The 21,181-nt window shown below is 38.0% G+C and overlaps 1 protein-coding gene across 8 annotated transcripts in view, besides 2 other annotated features; it reads left to right on the top strand.

The window, feature by feature from the left end:
• The window catches only part of HIVEP2 (HIVEP zinc finger 2), a 194,265-nt gene that overhangs the window by 1,121 nt on the left and 171,963 nt on the right, over positions 1-21,181 (top strand). The window contains exon 1 of one of the 8 annotated variants that reach the window (XM_047418714.1): positions 24-20,820. The exons of the other annotated variants lie outside the window; for them this stretch is intronic. The gene's annotated coding sequence lies outside the window, so the exon portion shown is untranslated. Of the gene's footprint in view, positions 1-23; positions 20,821-21,181 lie in introns of those variants that run through there. 8 annotated transcript variants of the gene reach the window in all.
• Positions 16,379-16,468: a silencer, noted in NCBI's record as "silent region_17616". NCBI's record gives its function as "represses an Ori minimal core promoter by ATAC-STARR-seq in GM12878 lymphoblastoid cells {active_cell/tissue: GM12878}" and the evidence as "EXISTENCE:reporter gene assay evidence [ECO:0000049][PMID:35858748]".
• Positions 17,370-17,939: a silencer, noted in NCBI's record as "silent region_17615". NCBI's record gives its function as "represses an Ori minimal core promoter by ATAC-STARR-seq in GM12878 lymphoblastoid cells {active_cell/tissue: GM12878}" and the evidence as "EXISTENCE:reporter gene assay evidence [ECO:0000049][PMID:35858748]".

The following is a 21,181-nucleotide window of genomic DNA, read 5'->3' as shown; positions in this document are numbered from 1 at the left end:
GAGGGGCTCTCTGCCGCGGCGGCACTGCCGGCTGCTATCAAAGCAGATGTGCTGCTGCTGCTCCTCCTCCTCTTTCACCTCCTTTCACCCCCACCCCCCGCCTTTCCATTCTGTGCCTCTGGTACTGGTAGGGGTGAGACAGGAAAACATTGCTCTGGGTGTGTGCGTGTGTGTGTGTGTGTGTGGGTGTGTGGGGGAGGGGGTGCTGATGTGCATGTGTGGGGTCTGTCGTATTTGGTGGGGGGGGGGGGTGGACTCCAGATCCGCTCTGCTACCCCAGCTGTTATCACAGATCGGTGCGCTTTATACGCATGTGCCTCCCGCGTTCTGTCCCTCTTACATAACACATCCAGTGCAGCAGAGGACATGAGAAAATGCGACCCCAACCCTCCAAGCCCAAATTGGGTGAGGGGATAGAAGGTCAGGAAGCGTCCCTGGGTGTTGTCCTTCAGGGACTTGGTTCCCAGTGGGGGAAAGGAAGAAGGGAAGGAGGGTTTCTTCAAGTGGCTCCTCTCATCTCTGACTTAAAAGCATCTAACTAAAAAGGACTGCAGGCACTAGTCTTCCCTAACGGGAAAGCTTGTAACTAGCTACACCAAGGGAACGGGGGCACTTTAACCTCGGGAGTGCGGAGAAGAGAGAGGGTCCTTAATCAAGACACTTGGAGGAGAGAAGCAATAATGTGTGGGCGGCGGATGGGGGGCGCTGGGGATGACTTCGAGGAGACCAGAGGAATCTCTTGATAATAGGTTTCACTGGAGGCCTTAGGACACCTGTAATGGCTTAGCATTCACACAGGAAGTTGTGTGTGCAACTGACATTGCAAAACCCTTATTCTCTGCAGAGTTATTTAGGCCTAAAATGAATATAGAAAGGCTTGTTTCCTGTACTTTCATTATAATGGAAAATTTGAGCTGATTTTTCTCCTTCCTTTTCTGCCATTTTAAAAATAACTCAATTTACCTCCAAATGAATATTGGTACTCGCCCCCAACCCTAAAGCTGGACCTCAATAATTCACAAGAGATCTGTGTTTTTCTAGCATACCCAGAGCCCTAGTCAAGGGCTATTGATTTTTCTCCTCAATACAGTTGTTTCTTTTGTAGTGCATAATCAAGCCCAGACATTACTTGAAATATTAATAAGATCCATTTTAATTAAATTTGCAATGATCTGTCCTCCTAGAAAAAGGCCATTTAACTTTATTAGAAACGTTTCCTCCAGTGATATAGTAATATTTGGTGATATTTGCCCTTGAGCAAACCAAGTTATTTTAAATATTTGCACATATAGATCCCATATGTTTGCTACATATGTAGCAAATGTCTCATTGCTTTTTCACCTTATAAGAGTGCCAGAAGCAGAATTTTAACGAAGTAGACTGTGGAATGAGTAGATTGGGTTTGATTTTTAGGATATAGGCCAAATGGTTTATCAGAACAGAAATGTCCTTTCTGTGACTAAAGTGGGTATCATTTTCATTATTAAGAGAAAATTCCCTGTGGAACCCTAAGGAGTCATAGTACCAAATGACAACTGTACATTTGCATTGTGAGCTGAAAGGGATTTACCAGTATTTACTTAATGATAGTGTGTTTGTTTCAAGTGTCATAATCCCTTTGACCACTAGGTTTGAAATATGCAGTATATTTCTTATATACAGAAATGTATTACAATGATGAATCTTTTGAACATTGAGACAATTTCTTGCGTCGAGCATAGGTCGGGTATAAAACAAAATTTGCTTATTTGCATCTGTATTTTTGTTACAGTGACTGTATTTTATGTGGCTAACTTTATTAGAGATGGCTTATATTTATACAAGGGTATTCAAGAGTAAATTGATGTGTGACTGATTCGGGGACAATTTTGGGAATGGTGGTATATTAATGATCTTACAAATGTAAGATCTAACTGATTTTTAACTGGTTAGATCCTTGTAGAGGTGTTTGGTAAAATACCACTAAAGTACATAAAACATTTCTATATTCCTATTTAACATGGAATGTGAAAAATTTACTATGTGTATATTATCACATAGGAAAATAATTCTCTTTGATTACATTGAAAGATTAAGCAGCAGAATATTTTGATTGATCAGGCTCCTTTGCATGAGATGTGTTTGTGAATGTTCTTGTTACCATGAAAACAAAACAGAGGACAGTATATAGGGAGACGTTCCTTGTGGAGTAATGGTGCATGTGTCTGCTTGAACTTTTGGCACTTTGTCACTATTCAGAAGATCTGTTTGACTCTTTTATGCTGATTTAATTTAAAATGAAAAATCTTATTCCAGAATTTGCCATTTTTTTTTTTCAAAGCAGGGCTCATTTTAACAGCAGCAATAACAAATAACTCTGTGTTGTACACTGTATTGGGTTTCAGCTTTTGAATTATAACAAGTACACTATTTGGGTTGGGTTTCAGTTTTTAAATTATTATCAGTAATTAGCTAAAGTCAATTTGAAAGCTTCACATAGGAAAAGTAATTTTAAAGAATGATAGAAAATGTTAGTTGGCATGAGTGAAACTATAATCCATGAGGATGTAAAGTAATTTAATAACTGACATGTAATTATTATCAGAAGGGAAAAGTGGCTAAGGTCAATCGGATATATGGCTGTGGATCAGACAGGCTGCTCATCTCCTATTTGTTAAAAATAAACACCGTTTTCATATTTTGGTATGTGATCAGCATCAGCGGAACTCTCTGTTGGTCTATACATTAGTTCTGTAGGTGGAGAAACGGTTCACAGTTTAAATATCTACCTGAAAATTTCAATGATATGCTTCCAGTTCATGGATTTATATGTGAATTCATCATGAATTCATATTTTTGGCTAAAACTTGGTATTTAACTGTTACAACTTTTAAAGTGATATTATAAAAAGGAGCAGAGGAAGTTTGCTAACTCAACTTAATGAAATTAAGGTTTCATAAGGAACTTCAAACCCATCCAGAGTGTATGGATTTGCTTTAACCATACAGGCAGATCCTTTATTAGTATGGAGCTAAACTTTAGTGAATATTCAAGTGAGGGCTGTACTGTGAAACCTGTAGGATTTACAGTGTTTGGGATGAACACAGAGGATTAAAGGGAAATAGGAAAACTTTATGAAAATAAGATCATGTTTATTTTAAAGTAATTGTATGAGAAGTAGTATTTTCTCTTTGTTCCTGGTATTTGGTCACAATCAAAAGCATTGCTTTCTGTATGATATTTATGGCAATGCTTATGAAAAAGAGGTTGAGTAAGCCAGTATTTGTAGCTATGAGATGCCACTAACTAATTTGGGAAAACATTTTAGCATTTTATTATTGTGTCACAACTCCAAAATCGTCGTGGGAAAGAGGATAACACAGGTTTCTTAGTCTGTGCAATCTTTGGCTTCTCTGAGATGGACCGTGAATATCGACATTAGATAGACACAGGCCTAAACTGGCTTCGTGACTGCATTTAGAATAGAATCAGAACTGCCTGATATTTGGGTCACTATTGTTCTAGGCCGAATTTGTGCTATCTTAACATACACTCCCATTACTCATCATTTGAGGTATTTTCTATGACGTGATTTTTCTACAAGTGTCTATAACTTTAGATTTCCAACCTCCTTAAAATTTGGGATCTAATTGTTTACATCTATTTGAGAAAGTGCTTTGGAGAGAGGAAGAGATGAACATGATGTTTATGTGCCTGAGGGTGATTCTCGGCAGAAAGCAGAGGGGGTCTCACCTGCTACTTCTGGGTCACAGAGTGATGGAAGTAAGTTCAGGAAGTACCCAGGGCCAACCTTTTTGACTTGTCACTCACATATAATCTTAATCCTCTATTCAGAGTACTACGACTGGTGCCCTGTTATTGCTGGTCAATGCAATTCACTCTCTCAGTCATTCAACAAGTATTTCCTGTAGATTAGGCCTTGTGCTAGACACGCAGGGTATAAATAATGACCCGAACCACTAAAGGAGCTCCTTCCAGGAGTTAAAAACAAGCCAGTGGGGCTGATAAGAGAAAGGTAATGCAGGGCCTTGAAGGAAGGTTGACCACAGGAATGATTATCCAACCTGACATATGTGAGGACTGCCTTTGGCAAATCAGGACACATCATGACCCTCCAAATGATCATGTTACAGGTTGATCCTTGGAGAGGCAATTTTGAGGGGTAGGACCTTGAAATTGGAAGAACCTTGTGCATAACGCCTGTCTCTTCTCAGTGCTTCCACATCAATTGTTTTGGAGCACCTGGAATTTTTAATGACTCTATATGTAATGACTTCAGTTTGAAGGACTTACCTGTAAATTAACTATTATTATTTGCAGATTTTTTTAATAACAAATAATTTAAGTTCTAAAAATACTTATTTGGTGCTCCAGTTAACAAAAATAGCCAGCATCATTGATTCAATTAATAAATAACTACCAATTCAGAAGTCTTTACAAGGTCGCTGTGTGAAGTAACCAATTAATCTTTGGAGCCCTGCATGAGCTAGATCTATATATTTTCAAACAACTAGCAAAGGGCTGAGACATTCAAGTATCCCAATAATTTCTCCTCATGATTGCAAGTATCAGGATCTTTGGAGAAATTTAGTTCTGATTTCTTACTTTCCATGTGATTAGGGGTCTGTGTGATATGAAAATATGAAGCAAAAGAGTAGAAACAGAGGTTAGTGAAAATCACTTTCCTTTATTTTTTCCACTGCATCATTTGATTACTTTTTTTTCTGTTTTATAATTTATATAATGTAGGAGATTCAATTTAGGTGACAAAAAGAGTCTATTTTATGTAGTAGTTCCAAGCTTGGGCTCTGCAGTCAGATCAAGAGTCAGAATGAGCAACAGAGATAAAAGGATGATGATTTCCAACTTCAAACATTTTACAATCTAGAAGAGACATGGCTTATAGTAAACTTTATTAAAACTTACAATTGGGAGTAGAGTATAAATGGAAGCAGGATTTTTTCCAACTGGAAAGATTAGAGGGTTCTTATGAGAGGAGGTGATTCTTTTTTTTACTGAGGATCTTGAATGTTAAGTAGAATTTCACTGAGTAAAGAAGGGAGTCAGGAGCTCCTCATACTCTGACCTGGGATGGGAGGGGACAGGGATAGTACCAGGGCAGAGGAAGAGTTGGGAGCCTGGAAAGGTACGTAGCTCCAGATCTTGTGGTGCCTCAAAGACCTGCAGAGAAAGCTGGACATCACTGAAGGTTTTTGAGCAGAGAGGTGATGCTATAAAGTGTGTGTTTCAGAAAGCTTATGAGGGTATATGGGATGAATATCTCGGTGGCAAGGAGACAGTTAGATTGCCAAAATATCCTAAAGAGAAGTAATGAAAGTTGCCCCTACTGAATGATAATATGAATTCTTTTACTCTGTTAATTGATGTGTTTAAAAGTACCCTAAAAGTAAGTAACAAAAGTGATTAAAATATTTTGTTAAACATTGCCAAATGTGTATGACAGGTTGTCAATTTGAACATTTTAAGTAGTGCATTATTATTTTAACCTAATATAAAATTTTTTTTACTACGGAATATATTTATAAATATTAGTAGTGAAAGTTGACCATCAAACACCAACTTGCAGACATGTTTATAGTTAAAATTACAAGGTAATTATATTTTTAGGGATACATGTATAAGGAATGGGCCACTGATTCATTTCGTGGTTAACTGGAATACTGCTTTTTAATTGATACCCAGCTGTATCTAAATCATTACAATACTGGACAGATAGTGTAGTGCAGTGTATTTGAAATGCAGTGCTTTGTTTGGCAAAGATTTATTTAATGGTTTCATTTTCTCTGCAAGAAGAAAAAAAGCAGATCATCGAAGCTCTTATTATTTGCACTGTGGCAGATTCACTTGAGTTCAGAAGCCTAGGGAAAAGGTGGGACTTTTGAAACTAGGGCAGTAGGTAAATGTGGACACACCTTCGTTTGTATTTGATTAGGGATCTGACAGCGTGCATATGTGTACAGGTTTGCACGTGTGCATACACACATATACAAATCATAGAAAACCATAGGTGTTCTGTGAGAGAGAAAATTTTGCTACTTAAATACAGCGTGAATTCTCATCCTGATAGTTGCAGAAAATATTTCTTTTAAAATGGAGATTAATGTCTAATTCCATATAAAGAAGATTATAGGAAAGGTGATTTAAACTGTAAGTAGCTTTGTTCACCAAAACGCTAGATTTATTTGAAACAGTGTTTTATTTCTTTTGGAAGGCAGACAACTAGTTTAATAGTGTACATATGAAACGCTAATTTGGCTTGTTAATTGGATGCAATTAAATTGAGGTTATTTTATACTGCTTAATTGTTAGAAAATTACATGCGTTGCCATGCCTGTGTAATGTGAAGCAAAAGCGAAGGGTATAGCAGGAGTGGGGGTGGGAGGGACGCAAGATCTAGTCCTGTCTTTGCAATTAACTTTCTGTGAAAACTTGGAAACAAGTCATCGAAGCTCTTTGGACCTCATTTGGAAATGGAAGAGATTGGAACAGATGGCTCCTAAAGCTTCTTCCAGCTCATATTCTATCAGTTTATAAATTCTACTTTGTAGTTGTAGAGAATGCAATGTCATTATATTCTGTAATTATGGTATTACAAGGATGAACTAAACACTTAAAAAAATCAGCACAGTGCCAATTTAGCAAATCCGTTAGAAGGAAGGCAATTTAGGCTTAAAGAGCACTCACCTGTGCCAGGCTCCATCCCAGGCTCTCTCTCCACATTACGTCACTTAGCCCTCACAACCAACCTGAGAAGATTTAGTTTTTTATCTTGATGTGTATACTTAAAGAAACTTCCATTCGGAAAGGTTTTTGTGGGGATGCTTTGCTAGTCATTGGTGAAGCAGGATTCCAACTCAGGGTTCTTTGGCTCCGAAAATGCTTTGTCTTTTTACCATTTCACGCAGTATAAGCAATTGTTTACACATCAAAATTATTTCAAATATTTAAAAAAGGCCAACCATATTTATCACTTAGCACAATGTTTCCCCTTAGTAGTATATGGATAAACAGGTAGCCCACGGGATTAAGAACCTCGATTTGAAGTCAGACAGAATAGGGCAAATTCCAGCTCCACCACCACCTGGGGGAATTTGGGTATGTTACTTAACCTCCCTGAGGTTACAAAATGAGGATAATACCCATTCAAGAGTCATTGGGAAATTTTTATGAGAATGTTTGTACCCATCTCAATGAGCACATAGTAAACGTTTAATACCTGGTAGCTATGGGTTATTATTAACAAGGTATTAGACTATAAGAAAAACATAGGACAATTCAAATTGTTGTGACAGTAAAATATTAAATATTTTCAAATGGTCCATTAAACTCTTGACTGAAATGGTTTAAGAAACAATGTTAGAATGACATGGTTTCACATTTAACAGTTAACAAATGGAAATATCAATTAAAATCTGGGGTGTTTCTCACTGAGCTCAGCCAGTGCTATGCCAATGAAGTGAACTAAATTCTCTGGTTCTTTGTGGAAAATCATTCTGAAGTTTTTGCTCTAAAAATAGCTTTTGGGGCCTGAATTACCCCTTACCCCACTCGAACTTCTGTGCAAGAGCCAGAGGACCAGTGATTACTCGTGGGGCCTTGGGCCTACTTAAGAGACTCAACTTGGGTGTTCACAGGACTGTTGACTTTAATTCTAAAAAAATTTATTAATTCAACAGAGATTTATTAAGCACCTGCTCTGGGAAAGGGCTGTTCTAGACACTGGAGATCCATCAATAGACAAAAATAGTAAAAAAAAAAAAAAAAATTCCTTGCCTTCATGGAGTTTACATTCTAGTAGACTAATTTAGAAACTTTTTATGGCTAATTCAGTCACTGCATTACTTTTCAGTGTTTACAGGATCTCTGCTTTTATAGTGGTCTCTCTTAACCCAAATAACAAAGAAACATCGTAAGACTTATTAAATCACTAATGAAATACCCCATTTATTTTATATATATGTGTATGTGTGTATGTACATATATTTCATAGTAAGGTAGTTTTTGACACCTAAATATTATAGCACTAGATTTTTTAAAAATTCATTTTTATGGTTCAGCATTATGGCCCTTCATACCTGTAGAATTAGTAGAATTAGGTGCTGGTGGTCGGGCGGTGGCTCACGGCTGTAATCCCAGCATTTTGGGACGCTGAGGTGGGTGGATCACAAGGTCAGGAGTTCGAGATCAGCATGGCCAATATGATGAAACCCCATCTCTACTAAAATTCAAAAATTAGCCTGGTGTGGTGGCACGTGCCTGTAGTCCCAGCTACTTGGGAGGCAGAGACAGGAGAATCGCCTGAACCCGGGACGTAGAGGTTGCAGTGAGCCGAGATCGCCCCACCGCACTCCAGCCTGTCTGACAGAGTGAGACTCCATCTCAAAAAAAAAGAGAGAGAGAGAGAGAATTAAGTGCTGGCTGTTTTATTATGGGCAAGAAAAAAATGGTTTACAAATGACACATCCTTTTTTTTTCTTCTTGAGACAAGTTCTCGGTCTGTCACCCAGGCTGGAGTGCAGTGGCGCGATCACGGTTCACTGCAACCTCGACCTCCTGGGCTCAAATGATCTCCCGCCTCAGTCCCCTGAGTAGCTGGGACTGCAGGCTGGCACCACCATGCGCGGCTAATTTTTGTGACACATCCTATTGTTAAATGCATTTATAAGCTTGCCAAAGTGAAGTAGTTAAATTATATTCAGAGTTTATATTTTTAATCTTGTTTAAGTGAATTATTCATCTTTTAACTGATAATTTTTGCTATAAAATTTCTAGTGGATTAGGATGGTTTCACTTTCACAAAAGTGTGCTCAATACAGTGTATGACATGTGCTGGGCATACAGTTGATATTTGGTGGATGTTTAAAGTCATAATTCTCAAGAAGCTTACGGTCCAAATGGTAAGGAAAAACACCTGCCACACTATAAGATGGGGGCCATGAGAACCAGATGAAGGAGATCCTCCAGGAGCTCAAGTCCTGTCTAGTCTTTGTGCCAATAGCCAGAGTTCATCAGTCTGTGCACCTTTACTTTATTATTATTTTGAGACAGGGTCTCACTCTGTTGCCCCCACTGGAGTGCAGTGGTGCGATCTGGGCCTCCACTGCAACCTCCGACTACCGGGCTCAAACGATCCTCCCACCTCAGCCTCCCAAGTAGCTGGGACTACAGGCACCTGCCACCATACTGAGCTAATTTTTGCACTTTTTGTGGAGACAGGGTTTTGCCATGTTGCCCAGGCTGATCTCCAACTCCTAGGCTCAAGTCATCCACCCCGCCTTAGCCTCCCAAAGTGCGGGGATTACAGGCATGAGCCACTGCACCCAGCCTGTCTGTGCACTCTTAAGTGCTTCTTGGCACATTTGATTTTAATGTTCCCCAGGAAACAAGTGCCTCCATGTGTCCATCCAGCAATCCCAAACATCTCTTAAACCCATAGTTGCGGGCTTCCCAGGCTCTAAACTTCCCATTTGTTTTTGCAGCGAGTGAACAGATAGGGCCTTTTTGAATTATGTTTCTCCCTACAGTTGGATAGGGGAGCTTATAGCTGAACTGTGATTCTTCCATCTAGGACAGCTTTCTTTGACCATATTCTGTTCAGGGTGCTCTAAGAAGGACGCTGTGTGAAGGTGGCTGTTGCTCATGATTGTGGAGTTTGAGGAAGCATTGTTTCTTGGTGTGCCTGTTTGGATCAATTAGGTGTGAAAGAGGGAGTGTATTCCTTTCCACCACTACACACCCTTGCCCCATGTAGGCCAAGACAAATGGAGGAGGAAAGGCTGGGGTGAAACGGTTTCCTTTCATGCAAAGCAAGTGGTGAAAGCCTCTGTTTTTGCAACTCAGCAATGTCCCTTGGGATGGTCTTGATGGCTGGTCCAGTACTTTATGGATAGATCATGGGAAGTTCAGCTTCTAATTATCCATGGAATAGTTATCAAACTTATTTTTCTTTCTTCTGCTGATGCTTACATTTTAATAAATTCGCTTTCTCTAAGCAAGGGAAAAATCCAGGGTTATAAACATTCAATTTATTTTCTTGTCAGTAGTCATGTGTCAAAGTTTATGTTGGGAGAGATATAGAGATGTAGCCTTTTTGGGTAAAATGAGGATTTCAGATATCTTTTCTGCTCTTGTGAGGCTGTGCTCATTAGAGCCTACACTGGAGCTCTAGAGAACACCAGAATGGATGACTTGAAACTCTGACCCCACTAGTTGATTGCTTGCCTTATTATTGATTTTCAAAAGGATTCAGGCCAAGAGGCTGTACCTCTGTTATATTTCATTATTTCTTCATCTGTAAAAATGAAGCATTGTTTATAGCACTCCCCTACCTCCTGGGAATACAGCAGGGTAACACAAGAGAATTAGAGTGGCTATTTTTAGTGTGTGAAGCAACACTAAGTTTTGAGAATAATTCAATTGTTGAAAAAAATCTGATATACAGCAATACATTGGTGACAAGGGTTAGTAAAGTGTTGTTGAGATAATTGACTGATATTGATGCAATTTATTACAGGCCTATGTAATTGTTTTCAGAAAGATAATGGTCAGCAGTTCCACAGCTTGTTATAATATCTCCTGATGGATTTAAATTTTGTGTAGGTCACTAATGCACTTGTGTCACAAAGTATTCAGAGAGTTATACCCACATTCAAACAAAAGGAAAGGGCTCTAAAGACATTTGTTTTTGGATTTGTAATCTGTTTACTTTTTCAAATGACCTTAGTACTATTCATGATAAACTTGGTGCCCAACTTCAATCAAGTGTAAATTTTAAAATGGGTCAAGTGGCTGAGAATATTCTAAATGACCTTTTAAAATAATAATCTGACAGTATAGAATATAACAAATAATTAGACACTGAGTGTGGAAATTAAATTTTCTAATGGACAAAGTCCAAGTCTTTTCAGTCATCAGTTGGTTTTTGGCTATGTTTGGTGGGAGTTTGCTAATGTGAAACCTAATGATGTCTGAAAATGGTCCTGATGGGTATTAATAGCCATCTGGAAAAATTTTACATCTTCACAAATAATCCCAATAATTTATATTGTGAAGATATTATCCTGATAGTCCTTCTTTTCCTATATTCTTGTCGGCTGTAGGATGAGAGCAGTATGAAGCAAACAGAAGACATTTTGAAATTAATCACAAAATTCCCATTGCTTTGAAGCCTGCTATTATTATACTAAGCCTTCTTATAGCTTTAAAAATCAAACAATGCCAAACAGTATATCTAACATTTTTAATTTCCTTTGAGCCAAACCAATTTGGTTTAAATTTCATTTCAAAGTTTTACAGTATGCCACACAGTTGTATACATCAGGCTACTATTCTTATTTGTATTTGACATGTAAGTATTTCTAAATAAACGAGGCAGTGAGTGGGGCAGGCATGAAGAAATGAAATTCTGAGGTTCTTTTGGAACATGCAAATGACTGCTTCCTTATTTAGTGCAACCTGTTCCCATTGCTTTCTTTCTGATAGGTCAGCTTTTGGTTTTGAGCAGGCTGCATCATCGGTCCCAGTTGAGCTTTTTGTGAGAAATTTTACTTCTTCCTTTCATTGTGATACAATTTGTGTTACTGCAATGATGCCTTATTTAGGGCATCTCTTAAAGTGTCTAGTTTAAATATGCTGATTAATTTTCTTAGGTGTAGGATCTGATGTTTCAGTTTTGGTTTGTCAACTGGTGACAGGACACTCTGCAATGTAAAGTTTCTTACAGAATTTCAGGATTAGATAAAACTATTGGAGGCATCATTTAATCTCTAACTGAGCAAGAAATCACTTAGGACAAATTACCAAGGACTGCTTGCATTCAGATTCTACTTAAACACCTTTTTATTTCTTAGGGAGGCCTATTCCGTTCTTGGACATTTCTAGTTACCAGCAGTTGAGCCCTCTCCAGCTATCTAGAACAAGTTTACTCATTGTCTTGCATGACAATCCTACAATTATTTAAAGATAGCAATCTTGTTCACCTTAAGTATTCTTTTCTCCAGGCTAAATATTCCCAGTTCTTTCAACTAGACCTCATAGGATGTTGTTTTCATTTTTATTTTATTAATTTCCCAGGGATCAGATTGTTCATGTCTGAAATTTACTCCAGGCTGAGTTTTTTTTAATAACTCCTCAAAAATAAATTGCTTATTACCATTTACTTTCCAGAAGACAGCCTCTTACCAACTGGCTTAGAAACGTTTTACAGAAAAGGACTAGCCATGCTTGCTGAGACTTTTTATGTAGTATAACTAGAACAGAGTTGGAATGTATAATAATGTAATGCAAATTGATTTTAACAAATATAATTCTTGAGATTCTGGTATGTGCAAGATATATGGGAATATGAAGTAGAGTATAAATATAGATAGAATATAAATGTAAGTAGAACATAAAATATAAAGAAGAGTCACTATTCTCATCATCAGGACTTTATAATCTACCATACTGAGGAAAAGAATGATGTAAGTGAAGCGGTAATTAAAAGAAGCAGGTTAAGTACCATGAGAGAGGCACACGTGAAGTACTGAGAAGGCGCAACATCAACCCTGGCCGAGGACTCAGGAGATAGCAAAAGGAAATGCTTTACCTGGGCACACACACCAATATGGGAAAGTGTCAAGAGTATTTTCAGAGAAGCATTTCATTTGAGGGAAGCATAAAATATGTATTAAGTAAATGTTGGTGAGAAAGTTAGGAAGATAGGGATATATGGTCTAAGGACTCATATTCCAGCTTAAGGGGTTTGGACTTAAAACGATAGATAATGGTAGATGTAATTTACCCCATTGAGAATTTGGTCCCTGAATTGAACAGTTCTGTAACTACATACACAATTTAATGAAATGAAACGAACAGATAAAAGATAAGTATGTGAAAATTTCTATGCAGAAAATTCAACTGCATTTATAAGTAGCAAGGAGTATATGTATTTTGCATAGAAGACATGTTTGCTTTGAATTGGCATATTATTTTTATATACTGTCTGTGTCCTAGAAAGCCAGCAATCTCAAGGATAGTGACTTTAATCATGAAGCTAAAGTAAGTGTATTGCTGATGGATGTATTGTTATATTCACACCTGTGCCAGTTACACATACCTTTTCTACCTCCTACTTTTTGGCAATATAAATGACATGCCATACTGATACTAGGCTGAGCTCAAATGATTGTCATTTTAGTATAAATTAACCTTTTCGTCAATTTATATTTTTCTGTTGATTAAAAATGGGGATACAGAATATTTGGAAGTACTTGTATGCATTTAAACTACTTGTAAGACTGCTATCTATATAGCATACTGTAAGGCACTATATAGATAGCAGTCTTACAAGTAGTTTAAACGCATACAATAAAGTTTTGTTGCATCTTAATAACAATTAAAAAAATTCCTACTTGAGCTCTAGACTGCCTTTAGTGCCTATGAGAAAACTCTCTTAATTTTCCTGCACAGATGACTTATTCCACATAATGAATAGTAAAGAAGGAATATTTAAATGGTCACATATTTGATAGAACAAGTAGACCTATATGCAGAAGTGATATATTAGAAGAGAGTTGAGATTTAATAATTATCTGTTGCCAAAATAGAAGTTATTGTTTCCTGAGTGGGTACTTTGATTTTGGAACTTTTCTTTTAATCATTATGGAAATAAATACATTTTAGATTTAGCTCTAGTCACACTTTTGGTTCTGGAGAAGTACAGAGGACTTTGTGAGTGACTAGGAGAGAATAGGAAAATACTATATTGTAATAAAAAATAATTTTGTTTTACTTGAATTCATGTGGGGACACTGCTGTTTCAATAACATGCTTGATTATAGGCCATCTGAGTACTTAACTATTACTTAGATTTCATTGAGGGCCTATTCTGAAGTATTTAATATAGATGGAGGCTGAACAAGGAGATGTGCTCTCAAACACTTGAGTACTATGTAAATATATTTCCATCTGAGAATATATTGACTTTTACCTACAGCCCGAAAGGTACGAGGTGATGATACATCTTGTTATTGTCCAGAGAAGTGAATGAATAGTCCTGGAACCACCTGCAGGTCTTGGGACTGTCTCAGTTACAGGGGCTGTACTTTGTTTAGTTAGCTAGCCTTGAAGGGATTGAGGCATTAGTAATTTGTGCTGAAGGCCACTTAATAAAGAGAAGGTTATAGTTTTATGGGTAGTTTGTAAGAAAAATAAAGCCACTGAGCTTGGAGATACCACAGTAGAAAAGGGTTCTATAGGAACCAAAGATTGTGAAGCAAGCAAGTAGGTAGGTAGGTTTTTCATGAATGGTTCATTCATTCTTATATGTTCATGAGTATGTGTGCATGATTCACTTCTCTCTTCATTCCTATATATATCTGTTCACTCAGTGAGCTCCCTTCCTTTCATTTCAGCTATTTAATTTGAGCTGGGCTTTGATTTGGGAAAGTACTGGCTGTAGAGGAACAACACAGTCGTTTAGTGTGTCATGGAAATAGGATGTGGACCTCAGAAAGAAGAGAGTCTTGATTTTGTCATCACATATCTTGGGAGTCAGTTTTCTGGAAAAACAACAAATGACTGGTGAAAGCTCATTTGAGAAGGATATTACTCAATTTGATTATTGTTAGAGAAGAGTGAAAATTTAGTATGCCCTTCTGAATATTTTTAGAGAGGAGGCCAGTTTGTGAAACAAGTCAGCCTGTCAGATACAGTCTGGCCATATCAAAGACTTTTCAAAGTCTATGAAAATGTGGAGACTCTTGAGTTAGAGAACTTGGATCTCAGAAGCATGGAGAGCCAAACATTATGGTAACAACTTACTGTTTCTCTCATATTCTAACTACACATTTAAATGAAACCAATCCTGAATGAAACAATGAGTTTTAAAATGGTTAGTTTGGGAAACTTCAAGTCTTAATCCTTTTCATTGTATGAAATAATATATCTTCTTAGGTTGGAATTGCGCACTTCATGATGTACTTTAAGTAACAAAAGTGGAGCACTTTAATTTTTTTCTAAAGAGAAAGTGTAAAATACATTATCCTGCAAAACTTCCTTTTATCCTCACAGTTATTTCTTCTCTTTCATGGTGTAAAAGAGGTGCATTTGAAAATAGCACCAGGAACCTGAAGAACTCCTTTTTTTTTGTTCTGGTTTATATTTTCAATTGTGTATTTATTCATAAGTTAATTTATCTTACCGTTCTCATACTGATCTTTATATCCTCAGTCTATACTAAATTTATGGTAATACTGATTTTATTTAGCCTGTAATCAGGATTATAAAATAAAACATTTTTAAGTCTTCCCTCTTTGTCCTTTCCAAGTGCCATCATCAGCAACTAGGTATAGACCAGAGAGCATGAATTTTGAATAAAATCTTCACTGAGCTTAGGCAGTATTTGGGGAGTCACATGCAGCTTGGGGAGTGCTAATTGTATACCATTGGCAGATGATTTGAAGGAACAAGTATAAGTATGTTCAAATCAAAAACACAAGAATTGCTGCAGAGATTTAATGGATAAAAGAACAATTGATATGAAGGAGAAAAGACACCCCAAAAAAAGTTGGTGTAAGATCATTCAGGAAACAGATATCCACTACAGTATTTCCTAGGATTGGATACAGTGGAATCACATTTACAGTCAAGAATCATTTGATACAGTTTGGGAAGCCAAGTAAATAAAGCAGTTGGATGTGATTAGATTTTTTGCAGGCCCCTCTCAGCACTCACACTCAGGGGCACTGGCCACTGGGAAGTAAAGAAGTGGTTGCAGTTAGGAATAAGGAGTTTGAAAATGAGAAGAGTTTGCGATTGCTTTTCAGCAAGATTGAAAGACTAGCTATGCTAGTCCTGAACTGAGTGGAGATTTCAGTTCTCTGAGCCTATTTCTTGAAAAAATCGGGATAGAAATATATATATGTGAAGCAAATAGCAAACTCTAATATACTATGCAAATTTAAGATATCATGTGATAAAGTTGTATTATTCAGATGTTTAGGAAATAAGACAACAGAATATTATTGAAGGGCTTTGCATCACTGTAAGTGGGGAAATCTAAGTTACCTTTAATATTGCCTTAAATAGTACATGACTGGATAGGACAACTAATATATATTAAATGGTAAAGTCTTTGATGTGCCTTTACCATATAAAAAAATTTCAGTAACCTTCTAAACATGAAACTTGTTTATCAAGAAGCAGTAGAACCGAGGATGAACTTCATGAAAACATCGAGATGATTTCTGTGCCAATTCTTAAGATTAATTTCTTGTCAATTCATAGGTTACAATGCAATGCACATTTTAAGTATCAGGATACTCATAAAACCCTAAACATATGTTTAAAAATAGAGTTTATATTTTTAGGGTAGTTTTAGCTTCTCAGCAAAATCCAGCGGAAGGTACAGAGATTTCCCATGTACTTCCTGTCCCCACATACACACAGCCTCCTCCACTATCGAAGTCTTGCGCTAGAGTGGTACATTTGTTATAATCCAAGAACCTACATCGACACATCATGGTCACCCCAGGTCCATAGTTTACATTGTTTTAATTCATGTCCTGATGTGAAACATTGCTTAGTTCAAATGTTAGAGATGTTGACACAGTAAAACATCTGTAATGTTTGTTCACCATGAGAACAGAATCTACAATTTGTTTTGTAGTTGACGATCTGTCTCAAACTGCACAAGCTGAAATTAAACTATTTCAATTTTTTATTTCAAAATGATCATAAAATACCTTATGGCCTTATTTTTAATCGTTATTAACCGTAAGCCACAGCTTCTCTACAATTACACATTGTTATAATCTGGTTTATGGCTTGAAACTAAATGGAAGGCTGGAAATTTAGAAGGAGACTTTAAAAATCTTTAAGAAACATGAACAGGTAATTTCCATTTTAAAACACTCTGGCTAAAGGTTTTGTTGGCTATTAAAGTGGATAAGTATAAGATTGAAAGATTCTTAAGAGATTCTGATTGTTAAAAGTATTAGTTGAGATAGGATAACTTAAGGTCCTAATAAATAAAAGGAGTGCAGTGGGTGTTTTCATAATGAAAACATATAGAATATGCTTTTAGAAACGTCTCAGGGGGCCTTCTTGCCTACTTTCACCTTACTGGAGCTCTGCAGTGAAGAAATGTTCCTTTTCCTGTTTTATGTCTGACAGTTATTTACGGAATTCACAATTGGAAAGGAGATAGAAAACGAGGGGAAAACAACTGCAACAACACTTACGTGATTTTTCACTTTTGATGACTTGGAAATAATCCTAGTGGAAAAAAGAGTCATCTTTAGGGAAACTGCGTTCAAAATTACGCTGAGGAAAGTGCGCCCGGCCAGTGCGTCCTCCAAACACCTGGAAACGCACGCCTTTTCCTCCCCGTGGGAAATCCAGGCGGTGGAGGAGGGCAGCCTGCAGTCTGCGGCTGGGAGCGCTGGGCTTGCGAGCTCGGTTTCCTCCGGGAGGAAGAGCAGCTCTTCCCCGCGGAGCCCCAGGGCTGGCCTCCGGTAGCAGCGCTGGGCCGGCCGGGGACGGAGGCGCCGGGAGCGCCAGCGGGAGAGGGGAGCCCTGGCCGCCCGCCCCGCGCCGCCGCGCCGCCGCGCGCTGCCTGCCCTGGACGCGGCTTGAACTTTGGCCCCCCGTCCGCTGACACCCGAGGGAGCATGAATGCAATGACGTCTCCGCAGGGCTCAGCTGCACAACAGGAAATGCTCTCGGCCTCCCCCCTTCCTGCCGGGAGAAAGTGGGGCTCGCCGCGCCCGGCGGCCGCCGCAGGGCCGGCCCAGACCTAGTTTCTCGGCCGCGGGCCCAGCGCCGGGAGCTGGTCCGGGAGGGAGAACGCGCGCCCCGGCCCGGGTTCACTGGCCCCAGCGTGTCGGGGGACTCCACGGTGCGGAAAAGCCCGGGGGTCAGGGGACAGTTGGGCTCGCGGGGACCACAGCACTGGCACCTCCCTGACTCAGAGGACGCCCAGTCAGGTGGGCCCGGAGCACCGGGGGCTCCCGAAGTGGGGCCTGATGGTGCCCAGGAGCGCTGACCTCAGGAGGCCTGAGTCCGTTTGTCATTGCCCGGATAGAATATACGCTCTTTCTTTTCACAAAGCCCTCACAGGAAACCTTGTTTAACTCTCCCTCTAACTGCCACCTTTTTACTTTGTTGTGGAAACAAAGATATGAATGTTTAGTGCAAAGCACAAACATCATGCCGTTAATACACTTCCAGACAGAATCATTACAAGAAAATGATCTCAGTGTTCATGATTTTAGCTGTTGTTATTTAGGGAATATGATTAATTTGGTTTAAAAGAATACTAATGATCTTGTGAATTTGAAGACAGTGTCAAAGCCCTGGATTTATTATACTGAAATTATTAGATGGACTTTTACTGTTTTTATAATAATATTATTTTGCTAGAGGTAGACGTAAAAAGTTGAACACAAGCAAGTTAACCCAAGCTGTTAAATTTAAAAAAAGTTTAAATTTGCATGAATCATCTTTAGAACTATATTTAAGAATCGATGTTTAGTACTAATAATCTATAATTTAGTAACTTGAATCTTACGTGTCTTCCATACTTGCAGGTATGATAAAGAAGAGTCGTATCAGCTGAGCAGTCGTGATTGTGATTACGTCCCTGGTTGACTCATGAATAGGCTTTGTAATGGTAGATTGTTCTTTTGGACACACAGCCAAAATGCTAAAGTTCACTGGGAGGTCTGCTAAGGTTTCTTACATCAAAGAGTTGACAGAGAAAGGACTTACTAAATGAAAATATTATTTAGTAGTTTCTAGTAAACCTCAAAAATCATTCCAAATTGGAACATACACTATGTTTACATGTTTAAGTTAAACTGAGTCATGAAGCTAACCGCTGACTTATGTATGCTTTCAGTAGTGTTGCCTAAATGTTCTCATTTAAAAGAAGTCCCCATAGGATTATGAGATGTGCATATAGTACGATGTCATTTTTCTTGGGAAACTTTCAGCTTACTTATGCAATAAGGAAATTTAAGGTTATTTGAGTACATCTGGAATAATAGCTTTAGATTTTTGAAATTTGTCTTTTTGGGGTAGCTTTTCCCTTTTTCCTTGACAAAATATAACACAACGATCCTATTTCCTATCTGAGCTTAGTTCAAGTTGTTATGGTGGCAAAGTTATGGGTTATGAAATGCACAAAAATGTTGGTACAGATATACTTAGTGGCCCACTTAAGAAAATAAAATTGGAGATTAAGAATAGAGGGAAGGTTGTGGCTCCTTGGTATTATGTTAGGAGAGCAGAATCCATTATAGTACACTCTTACAGTTAAACAATTTGGGGACAAACAAGGTTATGTGAGTGACAAAGTTTCATAAAACTAGAAAGCACTATGTTAATGCAAGATTACTTTCTAAAAATATTGATTCTCATTCCCTTTTTTCCTTCACAATAAAATTGTATGGAACGTTTGTGTGGTAGAACAAGGAGAACTTCTAAAGTGCATGTTAGTTTCATCCTTTGAGGCCACATATTGGGTCTCCTGCATTCTATCTGTTTACTCTCTATAAGATTTAAAACAGAGAGAGTAAATAGACAGAAGGCAGAGGACCCAACTATGTGGCCTCAAAAGATGTGGCCGCAAAGGTACTATGAAAGTATTTAGTAGTAGTATTATAGGGACCAGTTACTCCAGATTTGTATGAACAATAATCCCCAGTTTTGATGCAGCATCATGTTGGAGGTGCTAAGTAGGATCCTTAGACTTATTAGTTGAATCTCATAATCACCAGGAGATTAACATACTATTTTATGAAAAATGGAGTGTGAAAAGTCCTTATGGACTGCATAGATTCTGAATTTTTATAACATTAATCCAAACCCAGTACCTTGTCTGTAATTATAGTCTAAGCATATGTGATTTGATTAACACATGAATTACAAATATATCTACTTTTGGGCATATATTCCACCTTTTGTACTGCAGAAAAATTTTGTGCCTTTGCAGTGACCAAAACTATAGTTCTGTTTAGGGTCAGTAGGAGAAGATGTTTTTCCTCTTAACTGAGAAGTTTATGTTTCTTGGAGGAAAATCCTAGAATAAATGCAATCTTCCATTGTATCTTGGAATTACAATTTGAAATATCTTAAACAGTATTTTTTGAAAGAATTGGTTGTCTACTGTATGCCTTTTCCAATGAACTACATAAATAAAGGCAGAGTTTGTCTTTTCCTCTCTGAATGCCTAATGCCTAGAACGGTGCCTGACCCGGAGTAGTTGCTCAGAGCACGGGTGCTGAATGAGGAAATAAAGATGATACTGCTATCTCTCATATTTCAGATGCTATTTTGTAGTCTTCGGTCATAATTTTAGAATTCTCTTTTTGGTAAGAGGTTTAAAAAAGTGAGATATTATTTGATTTTTAATGAAATGTAAACATATAGCAGATGCACAATAAACATTTATTAAATTAAAAAACCACTGAAAGAAACATGATACTGCAATCCTGGTGCTTTATTTACTATTCTAATCATCTGCAGTCCTCCTTTTGCATCTAATGAGAGTCATTTTTTAAAAAGCTCATTGACCTATTGATTTATAAAAGAAGACATTTAGCAAAGCTGAAGAGAGGCCCACTTGAATTTGAATCATTTTAACTAGCACTTAACCCTCGGCCTTTACCTAGCGGTTTGAGATCCAAAGATTCTTTGAGTTCTTAAACCTATTTCATATTTGATTATTTATTGCCTAACAGGATCTTTGATGCTACATTTGAGCCTTTCTGGACATCGGGATTATGGATTAAAAGCCGTTGCTGTACCTCCTGCCTGGTACTGTGCCTGACATAGAATCTAGGGGCTCCACAGGGCTGGCTTTGTGGGCATGTGACCTGTGCATTTGTACAGGGCTCCAAGCTCAGAAGGGCCCTGAGTTTGGTTAAATGATCTGCTGTCACTGTCTTGAAATTAATTTTTGAGCAAGGGGTCTTCATTTCTCTGCCTTGCTAAGGTACAACTGAATAAAAAACAGATGGTGTGTTTGGGATCCATCCAATATATCAGCTGAATTGGAATATTATTTGGAATCAAATATGAATGGTTTTGAAAAAGAAAATCTTCTCCAAAGTGTTCAATATATCCTCTTGGTTGGAACATAGGAGACTGTAGCTAACATCATGGGAAATGTAATAGG

The sequence above is a fragment of the Homo sapiens genome, chromosome 6 (genome assembly GCF_000001405.40).
Source record: "Homo sapiens chromosome 6, GRCh38.p14 Primary Assembly".
NCBI classification, from domain to species: Eukaryota; Metazoa; Chordata; class Mammalia; order Primates; family Hominidae; genus Homo; species Homo sapiens.
Note: the sequence above shows the minus strand (reverse complement) of the source record. Positions and strands in the feature narration are given on the sequence as shown.